General features: G+C 44.8%; 2 protein-coding genes and 1 pseudogene across 2 annotated transcripts in view, besides 7 other annotated features; 2 read left to right on the forward strand and 1 right to left on the reverse strand.

Annotated features, from left to right (window-relative positions):
• Positions 283–18751: part of a biological region, named in NCBI's record as "ABL breakpoint recombination region", that runs on past the window's edge. NCBI's record gives its function as "recombination_partner: LOC107963947 | LOC107963948 | LOC107963951 | LOC107963955 | LOC107966121 | LOC107966125".
• Positions 283–18751: part of a mitotic recombination region, noted in NCBI's record as "ABL minor-breakpoint recombination sub-region recombines with the BCR-ABL minor-breakpoint cluster region, producing the e1a2 transcript", that runs on past the window's edge. NCBI's record gives the evidence for it as "EXISTENCE:nucleotide sequencing assay evidence [ECO:0000219][PMID:20703256]".
• Positions 1312–18751: part of a mitotic recombination region, noted in NCBI's record as "ABL major-breakpoint recombination CML sub-region recombines with the BCR-ABL major-breakpoint cluster CML sub-region within the BCR-ABL major-breakpoint cluster region, producing the e13a2 and e14a2 transcripts", that runs on past the window's edge. NCBI's record gives the evidence for it as "EXISTENCE:nucleotide sequencing assay evidence [ECO:0000219][PMID:20703256]".
• Positions 2551–3227: an enhancer, noted in NCBI's record as "NANOG-H3K27ac-H3K4me1 hESC enhancer chr9:133587784-133588460 (GRCh37/hg19 assembly coordinates)". NCBI's record gives its function as "activates a minimal SCP1, AML or CMV promoter by ChIP-STARR-seq in primed H9 embryonic stem cells {active_cell/tissue: H9 hESC(primed)}" and the evidence as "EXISTENCE:reporter gene assay evidence [ECO:0000049][PMID:30033119]".
• Positions 2551–3504: a biological region, named in NCBI's record as "NANOG-H3K27ac-H3K4me1 hESC enhancer GRCh37_chr9:133587784-133588460".
• Positions 2865–3504: a silencer, noted in NCBI's record as "silent region_20405". NCBI's record gives its function as "represses an Ori minimal core promoter by ATAC-STARR-seq in GM12878 lymphoblastoid cells {active_cell/tissue: GM12878}" and the evidence as "EXISTENCE:reporter gene assay evidence [ECO:0000049][PMID:35858748]".
• ABL1 (ABL proto-oncogene 1, non-receptor tyrosine kinase) overlaps positions 3197–18751 on the forward strand; it is a 174633-nt gene continuing 159078 nt past the window's right edge. Inside the window, exon 1 of the mRNA NM_007313.3 lies at positions 3197–4609. Coding sequence (NP_009297.2) covers positions 4474–4609 — 136 coding nt within the window. The 5' untranslated portion in view covers positions 3197–4473. The remainder of the gene's footprint in view (positions 4610–18751) is intronic.
• Positions 3780–3878, forward strand: LOC128092248 (uncharacterized). Its single transcript, NM_001414901.1, has one exon. The coding sequence runs from the start codon at positions 3780–3782 to the stop codon at positions 3876–3878; it is 99 nt and encodes a 32-aa protein (NP_001401830.1).
• RPL37P17 (ribosomal protein L37 pseudogene 17) lies at positions 14933–15214 on the reverse strand (annotated as a pseudogene).
• Positions 15698–18751: part of a mitotic recombination region, noted in NCBI's record as "ABL major-breakpoint cluster ALL sub-region recombines with the BCR-ABL major-breakpoint cluster ALL sub-region within the BCR-ABL major-breakpoint cluster region, producing the e13a2 and e14a2 transcripts", that runs on past the window's edge. NCBI's record gives the evidence for it as "EXISTENCE:nucleotide sequencing assay evidence [ECO:0000219][PMID:20703256]".

Here is an 18751-nt window from a genome sequence, read left to right on the forward strand (position 1 = left end):
GCCACCGCACCCGGCCATGAATTGTTAGTTTAAAAAAATGTGTATTAGGGGTTCTGATTTGACTGCTCAATTTTAAGCTAAACTAGAGAATAAAGCATGTGCGCGGTGGCTCACACCTGTAATGCCAGCACTTTGGGAGGCTGAGGTGGGTGGATCACGAAGTCAGGAGATCGAGACCATCCTGGCTAACACGGTGAAACCCTGTCTCTACTAAACATGCAAAAAAAATTAGCCAGGTATGGTGGCGGGCTCCTGTAGTCCCAGCTACTCCAGAGGCTGAGGCAGGAGAATGGCGTGAACCCGGGAGGCGGAGCTTGCAGTGAGCTGAGATTGCACCACTGCACTCCAGCCTGGGCGACTGAGCGAGACTCCGTCTCAAAAAAAAAAAAAAAGAATCTGGAGAAAATGACTAAAGTATGAATGGGAATAAAAAGAAAGCACAATCTCCAGAAGGAATAATTAGGATATAATCAGGATAAGATAATGGGTAAATAGGCCAAGTACAATGGCTCATGCCTGTAATACCAACACTTTGGGAGGCCAAGAGGGCGGATCACCTGAGGTCGGGAGTTTGAGACCAGCCTGGCCAACATGGTGAAACCCCATCTCTACAAAAATACAGAAATTAGCCAGGTGTGTGGCATGTGCCTGTAATCCCAGCTACTTGGGAGGCAGGAGAATCGCTTCAGCCTGGGTGGTGGAGGTTGCAATGAGCAGAGATCGTGTCACTGCACTCCAGCCTGGGCAACAGAGCAAGACTGCCTCAAAATAAATAAGTAAATAATAAATAATGGGTAAATAAAGCAGAACAAGGGCATTCACAGTTGAAGAATGACACTACAGATCAGAACTAAGATTGTCAGCCAGATAATTTTGTGAGAGAACAAAGCTAAACCAAATCACATCTGAATTTATAAATTCCAGTTCTAAATCTACGCACAATTTTTCATGTTTTCCATTCCGTACCTTCCAAGTAACTAATTCCTCTTGAAACCAGTATCAAAAATAAGTGTCATCTTTCAATGCGACAGAAATATTTCTAAAATACTTAATATAATAGCTGAATGTACAACACTCATCGTGCAGCTGTTCCTCCGATATCAGTAGCAACTTGTGAAAAATCAGTGGTCTCAGATCAACAGGTTTTTGATACTGAATGGTACAGTGGGAACCATGGGTTTTGGAGCAAGGTCAGTCTGGGATGAAATTGTGACTCTGTCACACATTGGCCAAGTGACCTTGGGTAGGTAAGTCACATCTCTGTTTCCCCATCTGTATTATGGGGAATAGTATTACATGCCTCACTGGGCTATAGTGAGGATTACATGAGATAATGCAGTTTATGGAAAGTGTAAACAGTGCTCGGTGTAAAGTAGGAGCTGTGATAAGTGGATCCCTCCTTAGAAATGGGATCTCGGGCCAGGAGCAGTGGCTCACGCCTGTAATCCCACCACTTTGGGAGGCCAAGGTGGGTGGATCGCTTGAGGTCAGGAGTTCGAGACCAGCCTGGCCAACATGGTGAAACCCTGTCTCTACTAAAAATACAAAAATTAGGCACGTGTGATGGTGTATGCCTGTAATCCCAGCTACTCGGGAGGCTGAGGCAGGAGAATCGCTTGAATCCGGGAGGTGAAGGTTGCAGTGAGCTGAAATCCTGTTACTGCATCGCAGCCTGGGCGACAAGAGCAAAACTCCATCTGAAAAAAAAAAAAAGGAAAGAAAGAAGGAAAGAGAAGGAAAGAAAGAAGGAAAGAGAAAGGAAGGAAAGAAAGAAAGAGGAAAAAAGGAAAGGAAAAGGAAAAAGAAAAGAAAGAAAAGGAAGGAAAGGGAGAAATGGGATGCCTGTCAGGTGCAGCGCTCTGGGGAGGCGTGGAGAGCCTATAATAGGGACCAAGGTGCTTTTTAGTCGCAGAACATGGATTATTTGTTAGGTGTGGCTTTGGCACATCTAGGTCATTGGTTCTGCCGACTTGCTAAACCCAACCATCTGGGCATTTTCTCGGCTAATATAGAGGATGTTTTCATGTGAACACGTGTCCACCTGTGAAATGTTTATAATGTTAAAGGTTCGTTCTGGGGCAAACATCTGATAGCGCCTGGCAAACCCAACAAATGCCTTTTCTGTAATGAGTAAGCCTCCTAATGCCCAAAGAAACAGTTGAATTCGTTAGCAACATGTCGGATGTTTTCCCTATGTCTGTATATTTCTTCGCTAGTTTTTTTTTTTTTTTCTTTTTGAGACGGAGTTTCGCTCTTGTTGCCCAGGCTAGAGTGCAATGGTGCCATCTCGCCTCACCGCAACCTCTACCTCCCGGGTTCAAGCGAGTCTCCTGCCTCAACGTCCTGAGTAGCTGGGATTACAGGCATGTGCCACCACGCTTGGCTAATTTTGTATTTTTAGTAGAGACGGGGTTTCTCCATGTTGGTCAGGCTGGTCTCGAACTCCCGACCTCAGGTGATCCGCCCGTCTCGGCCTCCCAAAGTGCTGGGATTACCGGCGTGAGCCACCGCGCCCGGCCCGCTAGTTCTAATATTTATGCTTTTTGGAGGGTGAAGGGCTTGAAAGGCATCAAAAACCTTGGTTTCTAGGAGCGAGCCAAATTTTCTCCCTTAGAGACTGAAGGAGGTTATCCGACTCCGCTTCCAGGAAAATCCAATCCGCAATTTTTCCCTCGCTTTGGCTCTTCCAGGTCTCACTACTCGCGCCGGGGAGACGCGGTCCGGCCTACGCTAGGCCGGCAAGAATCTACCAGGTCCCAGGAGGGCGGGGCCGAGCCCCAGAAGTCGGGGCCCGGGCCAGGAGTCTTGGTGCAGGCGGACTCGGGCGCGTGCCATGGGACCACAACTCCCGGCACGCACCGCGGACTGCGCCGAACACGGTTGGCTGGGAGATCCAACCCTACTGCTCCCACCGGCCAATGGGACGGAGGAAAGAGGCCTGACCCGGATTCTCGGAGGCCAATGGCAATACAGAGGAGGCGGGTGCTTCCTTACCACTCACCTTGCGCTCAGAGAAGCCACATTTAAAAGGTCGTGCCGGGCCGGGCTTTCGCAGGCAGTGGGACCAGAGCCGGGAGGGGCGGCGGTGTCCCGGGAAAGCGGCTCTTGGGGCATCCGGGTCCCCTCGAGGCGGGCTCCGGACGTCGCCGTGGGCGGGGCCGAGGGCGGGGCCTGGCCTCGTTGTGGAGCGGCTCGTAATCCATCATGGCGGCCGCGGGGTTTGGTGTCTGTGCCTGAGCAGCGCTGGAGCCGGAGCCGGTTCCCGGGTCCTGCGGCTGAGGAGCCCCTCCGCTGTCCACGGCCCCTACCGGCGGGGGGCGGCTGGGTCCCTCGGCGGAGCTCGGGAGATGTGACTGCCTGAGGGCGGTGGTGGTGTCAGCGTCCGGGGCCGGGGGAGGGGGTGTCTCGGGCAGAGACCCCCGGGCTTGGGGCAGCTGAGGCGGCCGGGCCTCCTCTACACGGGGCCCGCCTTCCGCTGTCTGGGCCGCGAGAGTCCTTCGTCCCTTACAGCCCCGCCCCGGCTTTGGGACACTGCGGGTGGTCTGTTTCCCCCAGCTTGGGACACCCCGTTTTCTGAGGCGTGGAAGAGCGTCGCCCCGGAGTAAGCTGCCCGTGCCGCGCCCCGACAGCTTCCCTCAGCCCCAAGCCGCCCCTTATTCCGGATCCCGGCCCCAACTTTGGCCACGGAGCCTCCCATTCAAATCCCTCCCTTGCTGTCAAGGGGTCTCCCCTTCCCCCAAGGTGGCTCCCGCGAGCCTCTAATGCCCTGACTTCTTCCAATGTCACCTACGGCCCCCTTAGTCTCAGCTCAGCCAAAAACTTTAATGCAAAGGAAAAGTCTGGATTGGTTCCACAGGCCTTTTAAAAAGCGGACTTAAAAGTTGCTGGCAATGCATTCCTTTTCGTCAGAGTCGAGGGCAAACTCGCTGAAATCTGGGTGACCCGTGTCCTTTTCCGGAGAGCAAAGCAGAGAAGCGAGAGCGGCCACTAGTTCGGCAGGAAATTTGTTGGAAGATGAAGAAGCTAAGATAGGGGGTTGGTGACTTCCACAGGAAAAGTTCTGGAGGAGTAGCCAAAGACCATCAGCGTTTCCTTTATGTGTGAGAATTGAAATGACTAGCATTATTGACCCTTTTCAGCATCCCCTGTGAATATTTCTGTTTAGGTTTTTCTTCTTGAAAAGAAATTGTTATTCAGCCCGTTTAAAACAAATCAAGAAACTTTTGGGTAACATTGCAATTACATGAAATTGATAACCGCGAAAATAATTGGAACTCCTGCTTGCAAGTGTCAACCTAAAAAAAGTGCTTCCTTTTGTTATGGAAGATGTCTTTCTGTGATTGACTTCAATTGCTGACTTGTGGAGATGCAGCGAATGTGAAATCCCACGTATATGCCATTTCCCTCTACGCTCGCTGACCGTTCTGGAAGATCTTGAACCCTCTTCTGGAAAGGGGTACCTATTATTACTTTATGGGGCAGCAGCCTGGAAAAGTACTTGGGGACCAAAGAAGGCCAAGCTTGCCTGCCCTGCATTTTATCAAAGGAGCAGGGAAGAAGGAATCATCGAGGCATGGGGGTCCACACTGCAATGTTTTTGTGGAACATGGTGAGTGCTTTTCAAAATTTCTGCTCATGGTTTTCCTCATGCATTCATCTTAGGCCTTCAAGGAACTTTGAACAACAGTACTTGCGACAGTTCCTTCCAATTCCACTTAATAAATTTGTTACTGTAGTTATCTCTTAGTGGAACTTTCTTTGTATAAGAAAAAGTTACTTCGTGACTTCGGCTTTATTCAAAATCTATTTGAGTTGCTTATTTCTTGCCTGATTCCTCTGCTAATTCACTGTTGACCTTGGACAAGCCACTTTACTGTTCCAGGGCTTTAGTTTCCTGAGGGGCTGGACTTCAGTGGTTTCTTAGGGTCCCTGGTTCTATGATTCTGCTCTAACCGAAGTCGTGGGCTCTTCTGACAAGCATGGATTCTTTACTGCTTTGTCTACAGAGAGCTTTTATCATATTCTCAAAGTGGTTTGTGTTCCTGAGAAAGTTAAGAATCATAGATACTGGTTGACGCTAATATCCTTGACCTTTTCCTTCGTAAGTAGGACTTGAAAATACTCACTTTGGAGCCATGTGGGAAAAATCAAGTGGGGAAGCAGCATTCCTTGTGAATTTTAGATAGACAGCTTCTGTCTTACCTTCCATAAGGAGTAATCTCTTCCTCGTTGATGAAGCTTTCATCCTGTCTTCTCCCTGTTTAGAATGATATTTGGGCCAATAAAGGTTATCTGTGACATTTTTATGAACATATTTGGCATTTGAATGCTGCCCGTACATTTTATGTTGTTCATGTCCAGTAATTCTGTGCGAAGTTAAAGCTAAGGGTCGGCTTACACTGATGTCTATAACCAGTTAATTAGGGTTACTGTTTGTACTGTTGCAGCCTGACATTTTTTGGATTGTGTCCTTTATATTAAAAAATCAGTTGAGCCCACCTATCCTATAAGCAAACGTATGAAGTGTGCCAGTGGCTTATACTTTGAAATTCATTCAGAAATACCCCAACATTGGGTGACTGCAGTCAACAAAGGCTTCTGTTGGATGAACTTGCATTTGACAGCTGAAGTTTTACTTTCTTACGGGAAAATATTCACTTCATCTAAATAAATCCGGGTGCTTGGATTTTACTTTGCCTTGAAACATTAGTTCTATTTTAGCTTTGTTTTTAGGCAGGCAAATATGGTAATGTGTTGTTATGATGGTTCCCAAATTCAGGATTTAAAAAGTGAATTATTTACATTTTAACTAGTGATGATCATGCACCTTACATAGTGAAAATTGGAACAGACTTTTTGGAGAGCTTTGGCGGAACTTATCAGAATTTGAAATGTACGTGCCAATGACCCAGTAATCCCATTCTGGGAAGCTAGTAGAGAAAGCAGTGTAGTTCCCTGTGTGTCCCTGATATCTCTTCAGGGGTTGAGAGGCTAAAACTATTTTCTTGTTAATAGAGTACCAAGGTCTTGTCTCTTTTGCTGTGTTGACGTTTGCAGTAATGGTACAAAAGTAAAGCAGGTGTCTTAGCATGATTCAGGGTTGTGGCACCTAACTATACTTGTAGTCATTGCATTCTTCATGACGTGCACTCACAGTTAAACAAACTAAATATATATATACACACACACACACACATATATATCCACTTTTCACTGAAAAATGTCCTTTTTTTTTTTTTTTTTTTTTTTTTTTTTTTTGAGTCAGAGTCTCTGTGTGTCACCCAGGCTGGAGTGCAGGAGTGCAGTGTGGCGATCTCGGCTCACTGTAACTTCTGCCTCCTGGGTTCAAGCGATTCTCCTGCCTCAGCCTCCCAAGTAGGTGGGACTACAGGCACGCGTCACTGACGCCCGGCTAATTTTTGTATTTTTTAGTAGAGACGGGGTTTCGCCATGTTGGCCAGGCTGGTCCTGAACTCTTGACCTCAGGTGATCCACCCACCTTGGCCTCCCAAAGTGCTGGGATTACAGGAGTGAGCCACTGCGCCTGGCTAGTTTTCACTGGACAATACCTTGATGAAGCAGCAAAAATTATTAATTTTATTACATTTTGACCCTTGTGTATGTCTTCTTAATATTCTGTGGGTTAAAAAGGGGGGTATGCATCAAGCACTTCTGTACAGTAAAGTATAATGATTATCTCCAGGAAAAGCACTTTGGTGGTTGGGTTGCAAACTGAACTAGCCACTTTTTTCATGGACTGCCATTTTTACTTGAAACTATGACAAACTATGGTTATTCAGACTAAAAAGTGTATGAAGGAATCTTTCAAAGAAAACAACAGGTAGCATTTGTTGCCAATGATGAAATTTTAGCTTTCCAGTGAAAATTAGGATTTTGGAGAATTTTTTTTTTTTCCTCTTCGGGGTAGAGTTTCGCTCTTGTCGCCCGGGCTGGAGTGCTGTGGTGCAATCTCGGCTCACTGCAACCTCTGCCTCCCGGGTTCAAGCGATTCTCCTGCCTCAGCCTCCCAAGTAGCTGGGATTACAGGTGTGCACCACCATGCCTGGCTAATGGAGAATTTTTATCTGCCTCTGTGATATAGAGATTGGTGGTAATATTTACAGATGCCATATTTTAATATCTTATAATGAAATGTATTATTTGGAAGATCTACATAAATCAGTAAATCAATATTTTCTTTTTTGTTCGTTTTTGCGACAGAGTCTTGCTGTGTTGTCTAGGCTGGAGTGTAGTGGCATGATCTCGGCTCACTACAACCTCCACCTCCCAGGTTTAAGCAATTCTCGTGCCTCAGCCTCCTGAGTAGCTGGGATTACAGGCATGCACCACCACAAGTGAATAATTTTTGTATTTTTAGTAGAGATGGAGTTTCACCATGTTAGCCAGGCTGGTCTTGAACTCCTGACTTCAAATGATCTGGCCACCTCAGCCTCCCAAAATGCTGGGATTACAGGTGTGAGCCACCGTGCCCAGCCAAACCATTATTTTCTAAATGATCAATGCATGATATAAAATCATGCACAGGTTAAAGATCCATTCAAAGTGCAAAATGGAGGCCAGGTGCTGTGGCTCGTGCTTGTAATCCCAGCACTTTGGGAGGCCGAGGCAGGTGGATCACCTGAGGTCAGGAGTTCGAACCCAGCTGTGCAATCTAGTGAGATCTTACCTCTACAGAAATTTAAAAAATTAGCCAAGCTCCCACTGGAGCCAAAGAGTCGAGGCTGCGGTGAGCCATGAACACAGCACTGCATTCCAATTTGGGCAATAGAGGGAGACCGTGTCTCTGGGGGGTAAAAAAAAAAAAAAATACAGTTCATTGGTAGAGTTTCTTAAAGGCAGCCAGCCTTTAAGAAATTCCTGGCTAGGCCGGGCACAGTGGCTCACGCCTGTAATCCCAGCACTTTGGGAGGCCGAAGTGGGCAGATCACCTGAGGTCGGGAGTTCAGGACCAGCCTGACTAACATGGAGAAACCCTGTCTCTACCAAAAGTAAAAAATTAGCCGGGCGTGGTGGCACATGCCTCTAATCCCAGCTACTCAGGAGGCTGAGGCAGGAGAATTGCTTGAACCCCGGAGCGGAGGTTGCATTGAGACGAGATCACGCCATTGCACTCCAGCCTGGGCAACAAGAGCGAAACTCTTGTCTCAAAAAAAAAAAAAGAAATTCCTGGCTGGGTGTGGTGGCTCACGCCTGTAATCCGAGCACTTTGGGAGGATGAGGCAGGCGGATCACTTGAGGTCAGTAGTTCGAAACTGGCCTGGCCAACGTGATGAAACCCCGTCTGTACTAAAAATACAAAAATTAGATGGGCGTGGTGGCATGCACCTGTAATCTCAGCTACTCAGGAGGCTGAGGCAGGAGAATATCTTGAGCCCCGGGGGAAGAGGTTGCAGTGACCTGAGATCGCACCACTGCACTTCAGCCTGGGTAACAGAATGAGACTCTGTCTCAAAAAAAAAAAAAAAAAAAAGAAACTACCATTTACCATGTTTTGATGTAGCATCAAAGAACAATATCTACGGTTATCTAGAAAGTCTGTTTTGGGGGGAGAAAACAGTTATTTTCCAGTAATAAAAATATTTGTTTTTAAATGAATAATTATGTTTTTAAATTTCAGTATTCATTTCTAATGTGGTAACTATTGATGAGATAACCTACACAAACTAAGCCTCTTAGGGGCCTTCGGTTATTTTTCAAGAGTGTGACAAGGGCCTGAGATTAAAAAGTTTGAGGCCAGGCACTGTGGCTTATGCCTGTAATTTCACACTTTGGGAGGCCAAAGGCAGGTGGATTGCTTGAGCCCAGGAGTTCAAGATCATCCTGGGCAACATAAGAAGACCCTGTCTCTACAACAAGAACAAAAGAAATTAGCCAGACGTGTTATCACACCTGTGTTCCCAGCTACTTGAGTGGCTGAGGTGGGAGGGTCACTTGAGCTCGGGAGGCCAATGCTGCAGTGAGCCATGATCACGCCACTGCACTGCAGCCTGGGTAACAGAGCAAGACCCCATCTCAAAACAAAGTTTGAGAACTGTTGCTATGGAAAGTCTATCAAGAAGGCACATAGGGATGTTTGTTGCTGAAGTACTAACACTGAATGATGTCTGTGTTGTGGTGAGTAGAAAAAAAGCAATTTGAAAATCATTATTTATGGTATGGCCCCATTTTTGTAAAACAAAAATATCTGTTTATTTGTGTATGTCCAGGAAAAAAAAGTATGGAAGGATTTTACACCGAAATTTTTATCTCTAGGGACTTGGAGCTTTAGGTGGAATCGGAGAAAACTTTCTCTTTTTGGTTTGTGTGATGTTCCAAGTGTCTTTTTACAACAAACTTGGGTTATCTTATAATACGAAAAATTCGAAGATTTAAAAACTGAGGCCAGGCACGGTGGCTCATGCCTATAATCCCAGCACTTTGGGAGGTTGACACATGTGGATCACCTGAGGTCAGGAGTTTGAGACCAGCTTGACCAAGAAGGTAAAACCCTGTCTCTACTAAAAATACAAAAATTAGCTGGGCGTGGTTGCAGGTGCCTGTAGTCCCAGCTACTCGGGAGGCTGAGACAGGAGAGTTGCTTAGACCCAGGAGGTCGAGGTTGCAACGAGCTGAGATTGCACGCCACTGCACTCCCAGCCTGGGCGACGGAGTGAGACTCCATCTCAAAATAAATAAATAAATAAAAATAAAAACTGAATTGATGACAGCCCAACCTGTCACTTTTTTCAGATCCCTTTTTATGAAAGAATTTGCTTAAGTTGTGTCTGAAGACAAACCAATTTCTTTGGACCCTGGGTATTCTTTTTCTAAGGGAATACCATGTTATTTTGTGTTACAGATTGTTTGCGATCTTTCATAGGCTGATCTTTCTAGAGTTGGTTAATATCCATGTAGGTTAGATTGAAAAACTTGAATTCAGAAATGTACGGTGTTGGAGCAGACATGGATCTGGAAGCCAAGAATAGCGTTGGTGTTGTTGTTGATGGTGAATCTGAAAGAGTGGGCAGATGGCAACTTTTTGCCAGAATCATTCAGGGTCAAAGGGCTAGTCATATTTACAAGGGAAAAGAGGAAACCATGTTATTAAATATTTCATGCACCATATGTTCCTTTCAAATTTCAGTGGCTTGACTAAGAAAATTCACTTTTGGGAGAGTTGGTACAACAATTGAAAGCACTTAGTAGTCAACTTTTTCCTTAGTGTTTCCTTCTTCCTTCAACAAACATTTATTTTATTGAGCACAGACTATGACAGGTCGTGTTGTAGTCACTGATGATATATTTGTAAACAAAACAATCCCTGCCCTCCTAGAACTTACATTCTAGTGGGAGGAGACACATCATAAATAAGCTAAGTAAATAAAATACAGATATGTTAGTGATATGTGCTGAGGAGAAGAATAACATAGAGAAGGGGACAGGGAATGGGGTAGGAGGTGTAATTTTAGTTAGGGTGGCTAGAGAGGCCTGACTGAGAGGGCGGCATTTGATTAAAGACCCGAAGGAGGAAGATGAGCAGCAGGCCCTGTTGAAATATGTGAAAGAATTTCAGGCCGAGGGAACCAGGATGCAGAAACCTGAGGCAGAGCTTGCTAGTTTCAAGGAGCAGCCTAGAGGCCACTGCACCAGAGCAAAGAGCAAAAGGAGAGATGCAGGAGGTAAAATGGAGGGTGGGAAGAGAATGGCTGAAGGAGAGGGTGGCCTTATTGGCCCATTTCAAGGATTTTGACTTTGATTCATATGATGTGGGAAGGCCTTGGAGAATTTTCCGAGGGGACTATACTATCTGATGTATGTTTCAGTATGAAATAGAATCTCTCTGGCTGCTATGATCTGAAGGAGGACAAGGGAGCAGGGATTCCACGGGGGCATTGATTGCACAGAGCCAGGTAAGAGTGATGATGCTTGGACCAAAGTGGTGGCACTGGGTGGAGGGTCAGAACCGACAAGATTTGCTCTCGGATTAGATGTGGGATATGGGGGTGTGAGAGGGGCCAAGTGTGACTCTCAGGTTTTCGAACTGAATAACTGGAAGAATAGAGTTGCCTTTTATTGAAATGAAGGTCGAGGCTGCAGTGGTAAGCTGTGATTGCGCCACTGCACTCCAGCCTGGGCAACAGAGCAAGACCCTGTCTCAAAAAAAAAAAAAATATTTACCATCAGGTAAAACCACTTATGGTTCTCAAAACTTTATTTAAAATAATAGACACTTGATAAATCAACACTGTAGGCCGGGCGCTGTGACTCACGCCTGTCATCCCAGCACTTTAGGAGGCCAAGGCGGGCGGATCACTTGAGGTCAGGAGTTCGAGACCACCCTGGCCAACATGGTGAAACCTCGTCTCTACTAAAAATACAAAAATTAGTCGGCATGGTGGCACACACCTATAGTCCCACCTACATGGGAGGCTGAGGCAGAGGGATCACGTGAACCTGGGAAGCAGAGGTTGCAGTGAGCCAAGATCATGCCACCGCACTCCAGCCTGGGTGACAGAGCAAGGCTCTGTCTCAAAAAAACAAAACAAACACTAATTCTCATTACTCTTAAAATTATACTAAGGCCAGGTGCGGTGGCTCATGCCTGTAATCCCAGCACTTTGGGAGGCCAAGGCAGATGGATCACTTGAGCCCAGGAATTCAAGACCAGCCTGGGCAACATGGCGAAACCCCATCTCTACTAACAGTACAAAAAATTAGCTGGGCGTGGTGGTACACGCCTGTAATCCCAGCTACTCAAGAGGCTAAAGTGGGAGAATCACCTGCGCCTGGGAAGCCAAGGCTGCAGTGAGCTGTGATGGTGCTATTGCACTCCAATCTGGGTGACAGAGTGAGACCCTGTCTCAAAATAAAATAAAATAAAATTATACTAAGTATCTGTATACATTAGAAGGTGGGAGGAAGTGCAATTATTGGATCCTATAGGCATTAAAGTTAAATTTGTCAGGTTTTTTTTTGTTTTTTTTTTTTTTTTTGAGACAGAGCCTTGCTCTGTTGCCCAGACTGGAGTGCAGTGGCACAATCTCAGCTCATTGCAACCTCCACCTCCCGAGTTCAAGCGATTCTCTTTCCTGCCTCAGCCTAATTTTTTGTATTTTTATTAGAGACGGGGTTTCACCCTGTTAGCCAGGATGGTTTTGATCTCGTGACCTCATGATCTACCTGGCTCGACCTCCCAAAGTGCTGGGATTTCAGGCGTGAGCCACCGTGCCTGGCTATCCGATTCTCAAAGAGGTTATTTGGACAGGCTGGGCGTGGTGGCTCACGCCTGTAATCCCAGCACTTTGGGAGGCTGAGGCGGGTGGATCACCTGAAGTCAGGAGTTCGAGACCAGCCTGACCAACATGGTGAAACCCCATCTCTACTAAAAATACAAAAATTAGCAGGGCATGGTGGCATATGCCTGTAATCCCAGCTACTCAGGAGGCTGAGGCAGGAGAATCGCTTGAACCTGGGAGGCAGAGATTGCAGTGAGCCAAGATCACACCACTGCACTCCAGCCTGGGCAACAGAGCGAGACTCCATCTCAAAAAAAAATAAAAAGGTTATTTGGAAAGATTATATCCATCTACTTAATGCTAGGGATTGGATTGTGGCACGTGGACTGTGAAAATGCAAAATTGGAGGTATGTACTTTATTTTAGAGACAGGGTCTTGCTTTGTCACCCAGGCTGGAGTGTAGTGGCACAGTCATAGCTCACTGCAGCCTTGAACTCCTGGGCTCCAGTGATCCTCTTGCCTTAGCCTCCCAAAGCAATGGGATCGTACAGGTGAGCCATTGCACCTGGCCATGTATGTACATTTTTTATAAGCATTCAGTTGTTTCCAATAGTCTAATACATTTTGTATGGCCTTCTTATTTTTCATGAAACCTTACTACCCATTTTAAGAAATTTGTAATATAGAAGAAAACAGAAGTTTCAATTGTGGGGTAAGTAAAGAAAGATGATCAAAGATGATTTGACCAAAAGAGTTTTACTTCATTTAAATGAAGCATGTTGTCAAAGAAAATGAAAGTGGGAAAAAATGTGAAATCATTTTGTATCAGTTCAGGACAGAACCGTGCTTGTGCTTCAGATCTCCAAGTGTGAACACACTGATGTGTTGTGAAGTGTGTTGCAAATAGAAGCATTTTTTGAATGGGAGGGAGAGGGATGTGTTAACATGATTTAGCTGGGAATTAAACCCATAGGAATGTGTCGGGCATATTTTCTGTGACTAGGGGGTAAAAAGATTAAAATGGCTACTGAGGATGGGCTTCAGTAAGAGGAGGTCTCCCGAAGGCCTTCTCTGCCCTGTGCCTCTGCAGTTCCCTGACTCCTTGCTGTGTTCGTCCCTGCCTTTTTGGTAGTTGTGCCCCTGATGTCACTCCCCTGTGTGTTCAGATCCTACCTGCTGGCCAGGTGCAGTGGCTCACACCTGTAATCCCAGCACTTTGGGAACCCAAGGTGGGACGGTCCTCTGAGACCAGGAGTTTGAGAGAGTGGCCTGGACAACATAGCAACACCCTATTAGTACTAAAAATAAAAAAGTTAGCTAGGCATAATAATGTCCTGTGCTTGTCTAGCTACTTGGGAGGCTGAGGCAGAAGGATTACTTGAGTCCAGGAGTTCGAGGCTGAAGCAAACTGTGATCATATCATTGTACTCCAGCCTGTGTGATAAAGCAAGACCCTATCCTTTAAAAGTAAAAAACAAACAAACAAACAAAAAACAAACCTGCTTAACCTTTCAACACTCTCTTCCAGTCCCCCCTCCCTTCTGAAACCATATTTTACATCTCTGGTCCTCATTAAATTTTCTGTAACTTCTGCCCTTGTAACTCTTCTGCAACACAAATGAATACATAATCATATACTTCCTAGTAGTATTTCCTAATAGTTTTATGTGAGTTTCATGGAAGAGAGTGTTGAAACGTAGGTAGGTTTGTTTTTTATTTTTTAACTTTTTTTTAACTTTTTTTTTTGAGATGGAGTCTCGCTCTGTCACCCAGGCTGGAGTGCAGTGGCGCGATCTTGGCTCACTGCAAGTTCCGCCTCCTGGGTTCATGCCATTCTCCTGCCTCAGCCTCCCGAGTAGCTAGGACTACAGGCGCCCGCCACCACACCTGGCCAATTTTTGTATTTTTAGTAGAGACCAGGTTTCACCATCTTAGCCAGTATGGTCTCGATCTCCTGACCTCGTTATCCACCTGCCTTGGCCTTCCAAAGTGCTGGGATTACAGGCGTGAGCCACCATGCGTGGCCTTTTAAAAAAATTTTTAAGAGATAAGGTCTTGCTTTGTCGCCCAGGCTGGAGTACAATGATATGATCACTGTTCACTGCAGCCTCGAACTCCTCAAGTAAACTGTAAGCTTGTGAATGCAGGTTTCATCTCATTTTCTGTTTCCCCAGCATAATGCTGAATACATAGGCTCTCCATAAAAAAAATTCTTGATAAGAATGATATTAAATGGACTAAATGAGAAATTAAACTTTTTATTCACTTACAAGGAATGAAAGTTCTCAAATAGCTAACTTATTTTCTTATGTATCCTAGGACTTTTTATCTGGTTCTGGGGTTTCTTTCCCAATGAATATACTTATATATGTTTATTTTATTTATTTATTTTTGTATTTTTAAAAACCAGAACATTTATTGTGTGGCTAATCTTTGAAATTCTTGGCTGGGCTCGGTGGCTCATGCCTGTAATCCCAGCACTTTAGGAGGCCAAGATGGGCGGATCACTTGAGCTCAGGAGTTTGAGACCAGCCTGGCCAACATGGTGAAAACCCATCTTTACTTAAAAATTAGCCAGGCGTGGTGACGCATACCTGTAATCCCAGCTACCTGGGATTGTGCCACTGCACTCCAGCCTGGGCGACAGAGCGAAACCCTGTCTTTAAAAAAAAAAAAAAAAAAAAAAAGCAAATAAATTCTTGAGATGAACTGGATGCTGCAACAGCTGCCCTTTTGGGTTTAGGTGTTGTTCCTTTATGGAAATCCACGCCGCTTCATTCGCCCAGTCCCTGTGGCCTTTAGTCTTTTAGCCTTGGCACACCAGTCATACTTCCTCTTGCGCTTGGCGGGGTAGCCACATTTGCCACAGGTAGACTTCGGAAGGTGACAGGCCTTAGAGCCACAGTGGCCGCACAACGTGTGCATCATATTGCAACGCTTTTCAAACGATAACGTTCCCTTTGTCATCTCCCTTCTGTGTTTATTTTTTTATTGTGGTAAAATATACAGAAAAGTTACCATTTTAACCTGTTTAGGTGTATAACTCAGTGGCATTAAGTATATTCCCAGTGATGCAGTCATCATCACTATCCATTTTCAGAACTTTTTCATCATCCTAAGTAGAAACTCTGTACCCATTAAAAAATAATATCCCATTTCCCTCTTTCCCCACTTCTTGGTAACCACTTTTATGCTTTTTCTCTCTATGAATTTGCTCATTCTAGGACTTCATATAACTATAATAATACAATATTTGCCCTTTTGTGTCTGGCTTATTTCACTTAGTGTTTTTGTTTGTTTGTTTGTTTGTTTTTGAGACGGAGTTTTGCTCTTGTTGCCCAGGCTGGAGTGCAATGGCGCGATCTCGGCTCACTGCAACCTCTGCCTCCCAGGTTCAAGCAGTTCTTCTGCCTCACCCTCCCAAGTAGCTGGGATTACAGGCATGTGCCACCATGCCTGGCTAATTTTGTATTTTTAGTAGAGATGGGGTTTCTCCATATTGGTCAGGCTGGTCTCGAACTCCTGACCTCAGGTGATCCGCCTGCCTAGGCCTCCCAAAGTGCGGGGATTACAGGCATGAGCCACCGTGCCTGGCCTCACTTAGCATGTTTTAAAGGTGCATCTGTTGTTACGTGTATCAGAATTTCTTCTTTTTTAAGGCTGAATAATATCCCATTGTGTGTGTATATATATATACACACCAAATTTTGTCCATCTGTTGGTGGAACTTGTGTATGGTGGTTTTTTTTTTTTTTTTTTTTTTTTTTTGAGACAGTCTCACTCTGTCTCCCAGACTGGAGTGCAGTGGTGTGATTGCCTGAGCCCAGGAGTTCAAGCTTGCTACAACCTTGACCTCCCGGGCTCAGGCAGTCCTCCCACCTCAGCCTCTCGAGTAGCTGGGACCACAGGTGTGCACTACCACACCTGGCTAATTTAAAAAAAAAATTTATAGAGACAGAGTCTTGCTATGGTGTCTAAGCTGGTCTTGAACTCCTGGGCTCAGGTGATACTCCTGCCTCAACCTCCCAAAGTGTTAAGATTACAGGATTGAGCTCCCTTGCGCGACCTGATATTTTAATATTTTTTTTAAAAAAGTGTAATATGCATACAGAAAGGGGCACAAATTGAATGTACAGCTTGATGAATGATCACAAATGAATACCTCTGCATTCCACTATCTTGCTTAAGAAGTAGAAAATTGTGAGCACACCTCAGAAAGCCTTGTGCCCCCTTCCAGTTTCACTCCTGCCTTCCTCCTCCTCAGAGATAACTACTGTCTTACGTTTTAGCACCATCGATTAGTTTCCCTTGTTTTTGTTTTTAATATTCCCTTGTTATCCTTTTAATGTCTATAGGGTCTGTGGTGATATGCTTTTTCCATTCCTCACATTGGTAATTTGTGTTTTTTCTCTCTGTTTCTCTCTCACACACACCTTTTCAGTTAGTTTTGCTGAGGGTTTACCAATTTTATTAATCTTTTCAAAAAAAATTTGTTAACTTTCTCAATTGTTTTCCATTTTATTGATTTCTGCTCTTTATTTTCTTTCTTTTACTTAAAAAAATTTTTTTTTGTAGAGATAGGGTCTTGCTATGTTGCCCAGGATGGTCTCAAACTCCTGGCTTCAAGCGATCCTCCTGCCTTGGCCTCCTGAAGTGCTGGGATTATAGGCGTGAGCCACTGCACCCAGCCTACTTTGGGTTTAATTTGTTCTTTATTTCTAGCTTCTTAAAGTAGAAATTTAGATCGATTCCAAACCCTTCTTGTCCAACATAGGCATTTAAAGCTGTGTATTTCCTACTAAACACTGCGTTAGCTCTATCACATAAGTTCATCACATAAGTTTTCATGTGTTATTATCAAAGTGTTTGATTTCCAAGTATTTGGGAATTCTAGATATCTTGGTTTCTAATTTAATTTCATTGTGGTCAGAGAACATCTTCTGTAGAATTTCAGTCTTCTGACATTTACCAAGACTAATTTTATGGCCCAGCATATAACCTGTCTTAGTGAATGTTCCATTTGTAGTTGAAAAAAGTTTGTGTTGTTGCATGTAGTTTTCTATAAATCAAGTTGTTTCATGCTTTTGTTTAAACATCTTCTATATTCTTACTTTTTATTTTGTACTTACTTCATCTATAGCTTTGCTGAGGTTTTTTTTTTTTTGTAGAGACAAGGTTTCACCATGTTACCCAGGCTGGTCTTGAACTCCTGAGCTCAAGCAATCTGCCCTCCTGGGCCTCCCAAAGTGCTGGGATTACAGGTGTGAGCCACTGTGCCTGGCGGTATCTCTCTTTTTTACTGAGAGAGTGATGCTGAAGATCAACAGCTATAATGATATATTCGTTTATTTTTTCCTTTAATTCTATCACTTCTTTTACTCTTAAAAGCATTTATTCCGCCGGGCGTGGTGGCACACGCCTGTAATCCCAGCAATTTGGGAGGCTGAGGTGGGTGGATCACAAGTTCAGGCGTTCAAGACCAGCCTGGCCAAGATGGTGAAACCCTGTCTCTTACTAAAAATACAAAAATTAGCTGGGCTTGGTGGCAGCTGCCTATAGCTACTCGGGAGGCTGAGGCAGGATAATCCCTTGAACCCGGGGTACAGAGGTTGCAGTGAGCCGAGATCGCGCCATTGCACTCCAGCCTGGGTGACAGAGTGAGACACCGCCCCCCCCCCCCAAAAAAAAGCATTTATTAGGAAACAGGAAAGACTGAACAAGAACAAGAGAACTAAGCATGTAACTCAAGAAGCCAGAGAACCAAAGTAATCCCACAGTACACAGAAGAGAATAATAAAAATAAAAACAAATTAAGAATGGAAATGATCAATAAAACCAAAAGCTAACTTTGAAAAATATTATTGATCTAGGCACACTTCTGGTAAGACTAATGAAGAAAAAGAAAAGGTAGAATATTTAGAAAAGGAACAATATTTAGAATGAAAATATAACTATAAATACTCTCAGTTTTTGCCTCTTTTTTTGTTTGTTTGTTTTTTGGAGACAAGATCTCACTCTGTCACTCAGGCTGGAGTGCAGTGGCAATCATAGCTCACTGCAACCTCCGTCTCCCAGACTCAAGCTGTTCTCCCACCTCAGCCTCCTGAGTAGCTGGGACTATGGGCATGCGCCACCATGTCCAGCTGATTTTTTTTTTTTTTTTTTGTGGAGACGGGGTTTCATCATGTTACCCAGGCTGGTCTTGAACTCCTGAGCTCAAGCAATCTGCCCTCCTACGCCTCCCAAAGTGCTGGGATTACAGGTGTGAGCCACTGTACCTGGCTGGTTTTTTTTTTTTTTCTTTTCTTTCCTTTTTTTTTGAGACAGTGTTTTGCTCTGTCGCCCAGGCTGGAGTGCAGTGGAGTGATCTTGGCTCACTACAAGCTCCACCTCCTGGGTTCATGCCATTCTCCTGCCTCAGCCTCCTGAGTAGCTGGGACTACAGGCGCCTGCCACCACGCCCGGCTAATTTTTTTGTATGTTTTTTTAGAAGAGACGGAGTTTCACCGTGTTA

The sequence above is a fragment of the Homo sapiens genome, chromosome 9 (genome assembly GCF_000001405.40).
Source record: "Homo sapiens chromosome 9, GRCh38.p14 Primary Assembly".
Taxonomy (NCBI): domain Eukaryota; kingdom Metazoa; phylum Chordata; class Mammalia; order Primates; family Hominidae; genus Homo; species Homo sapiens.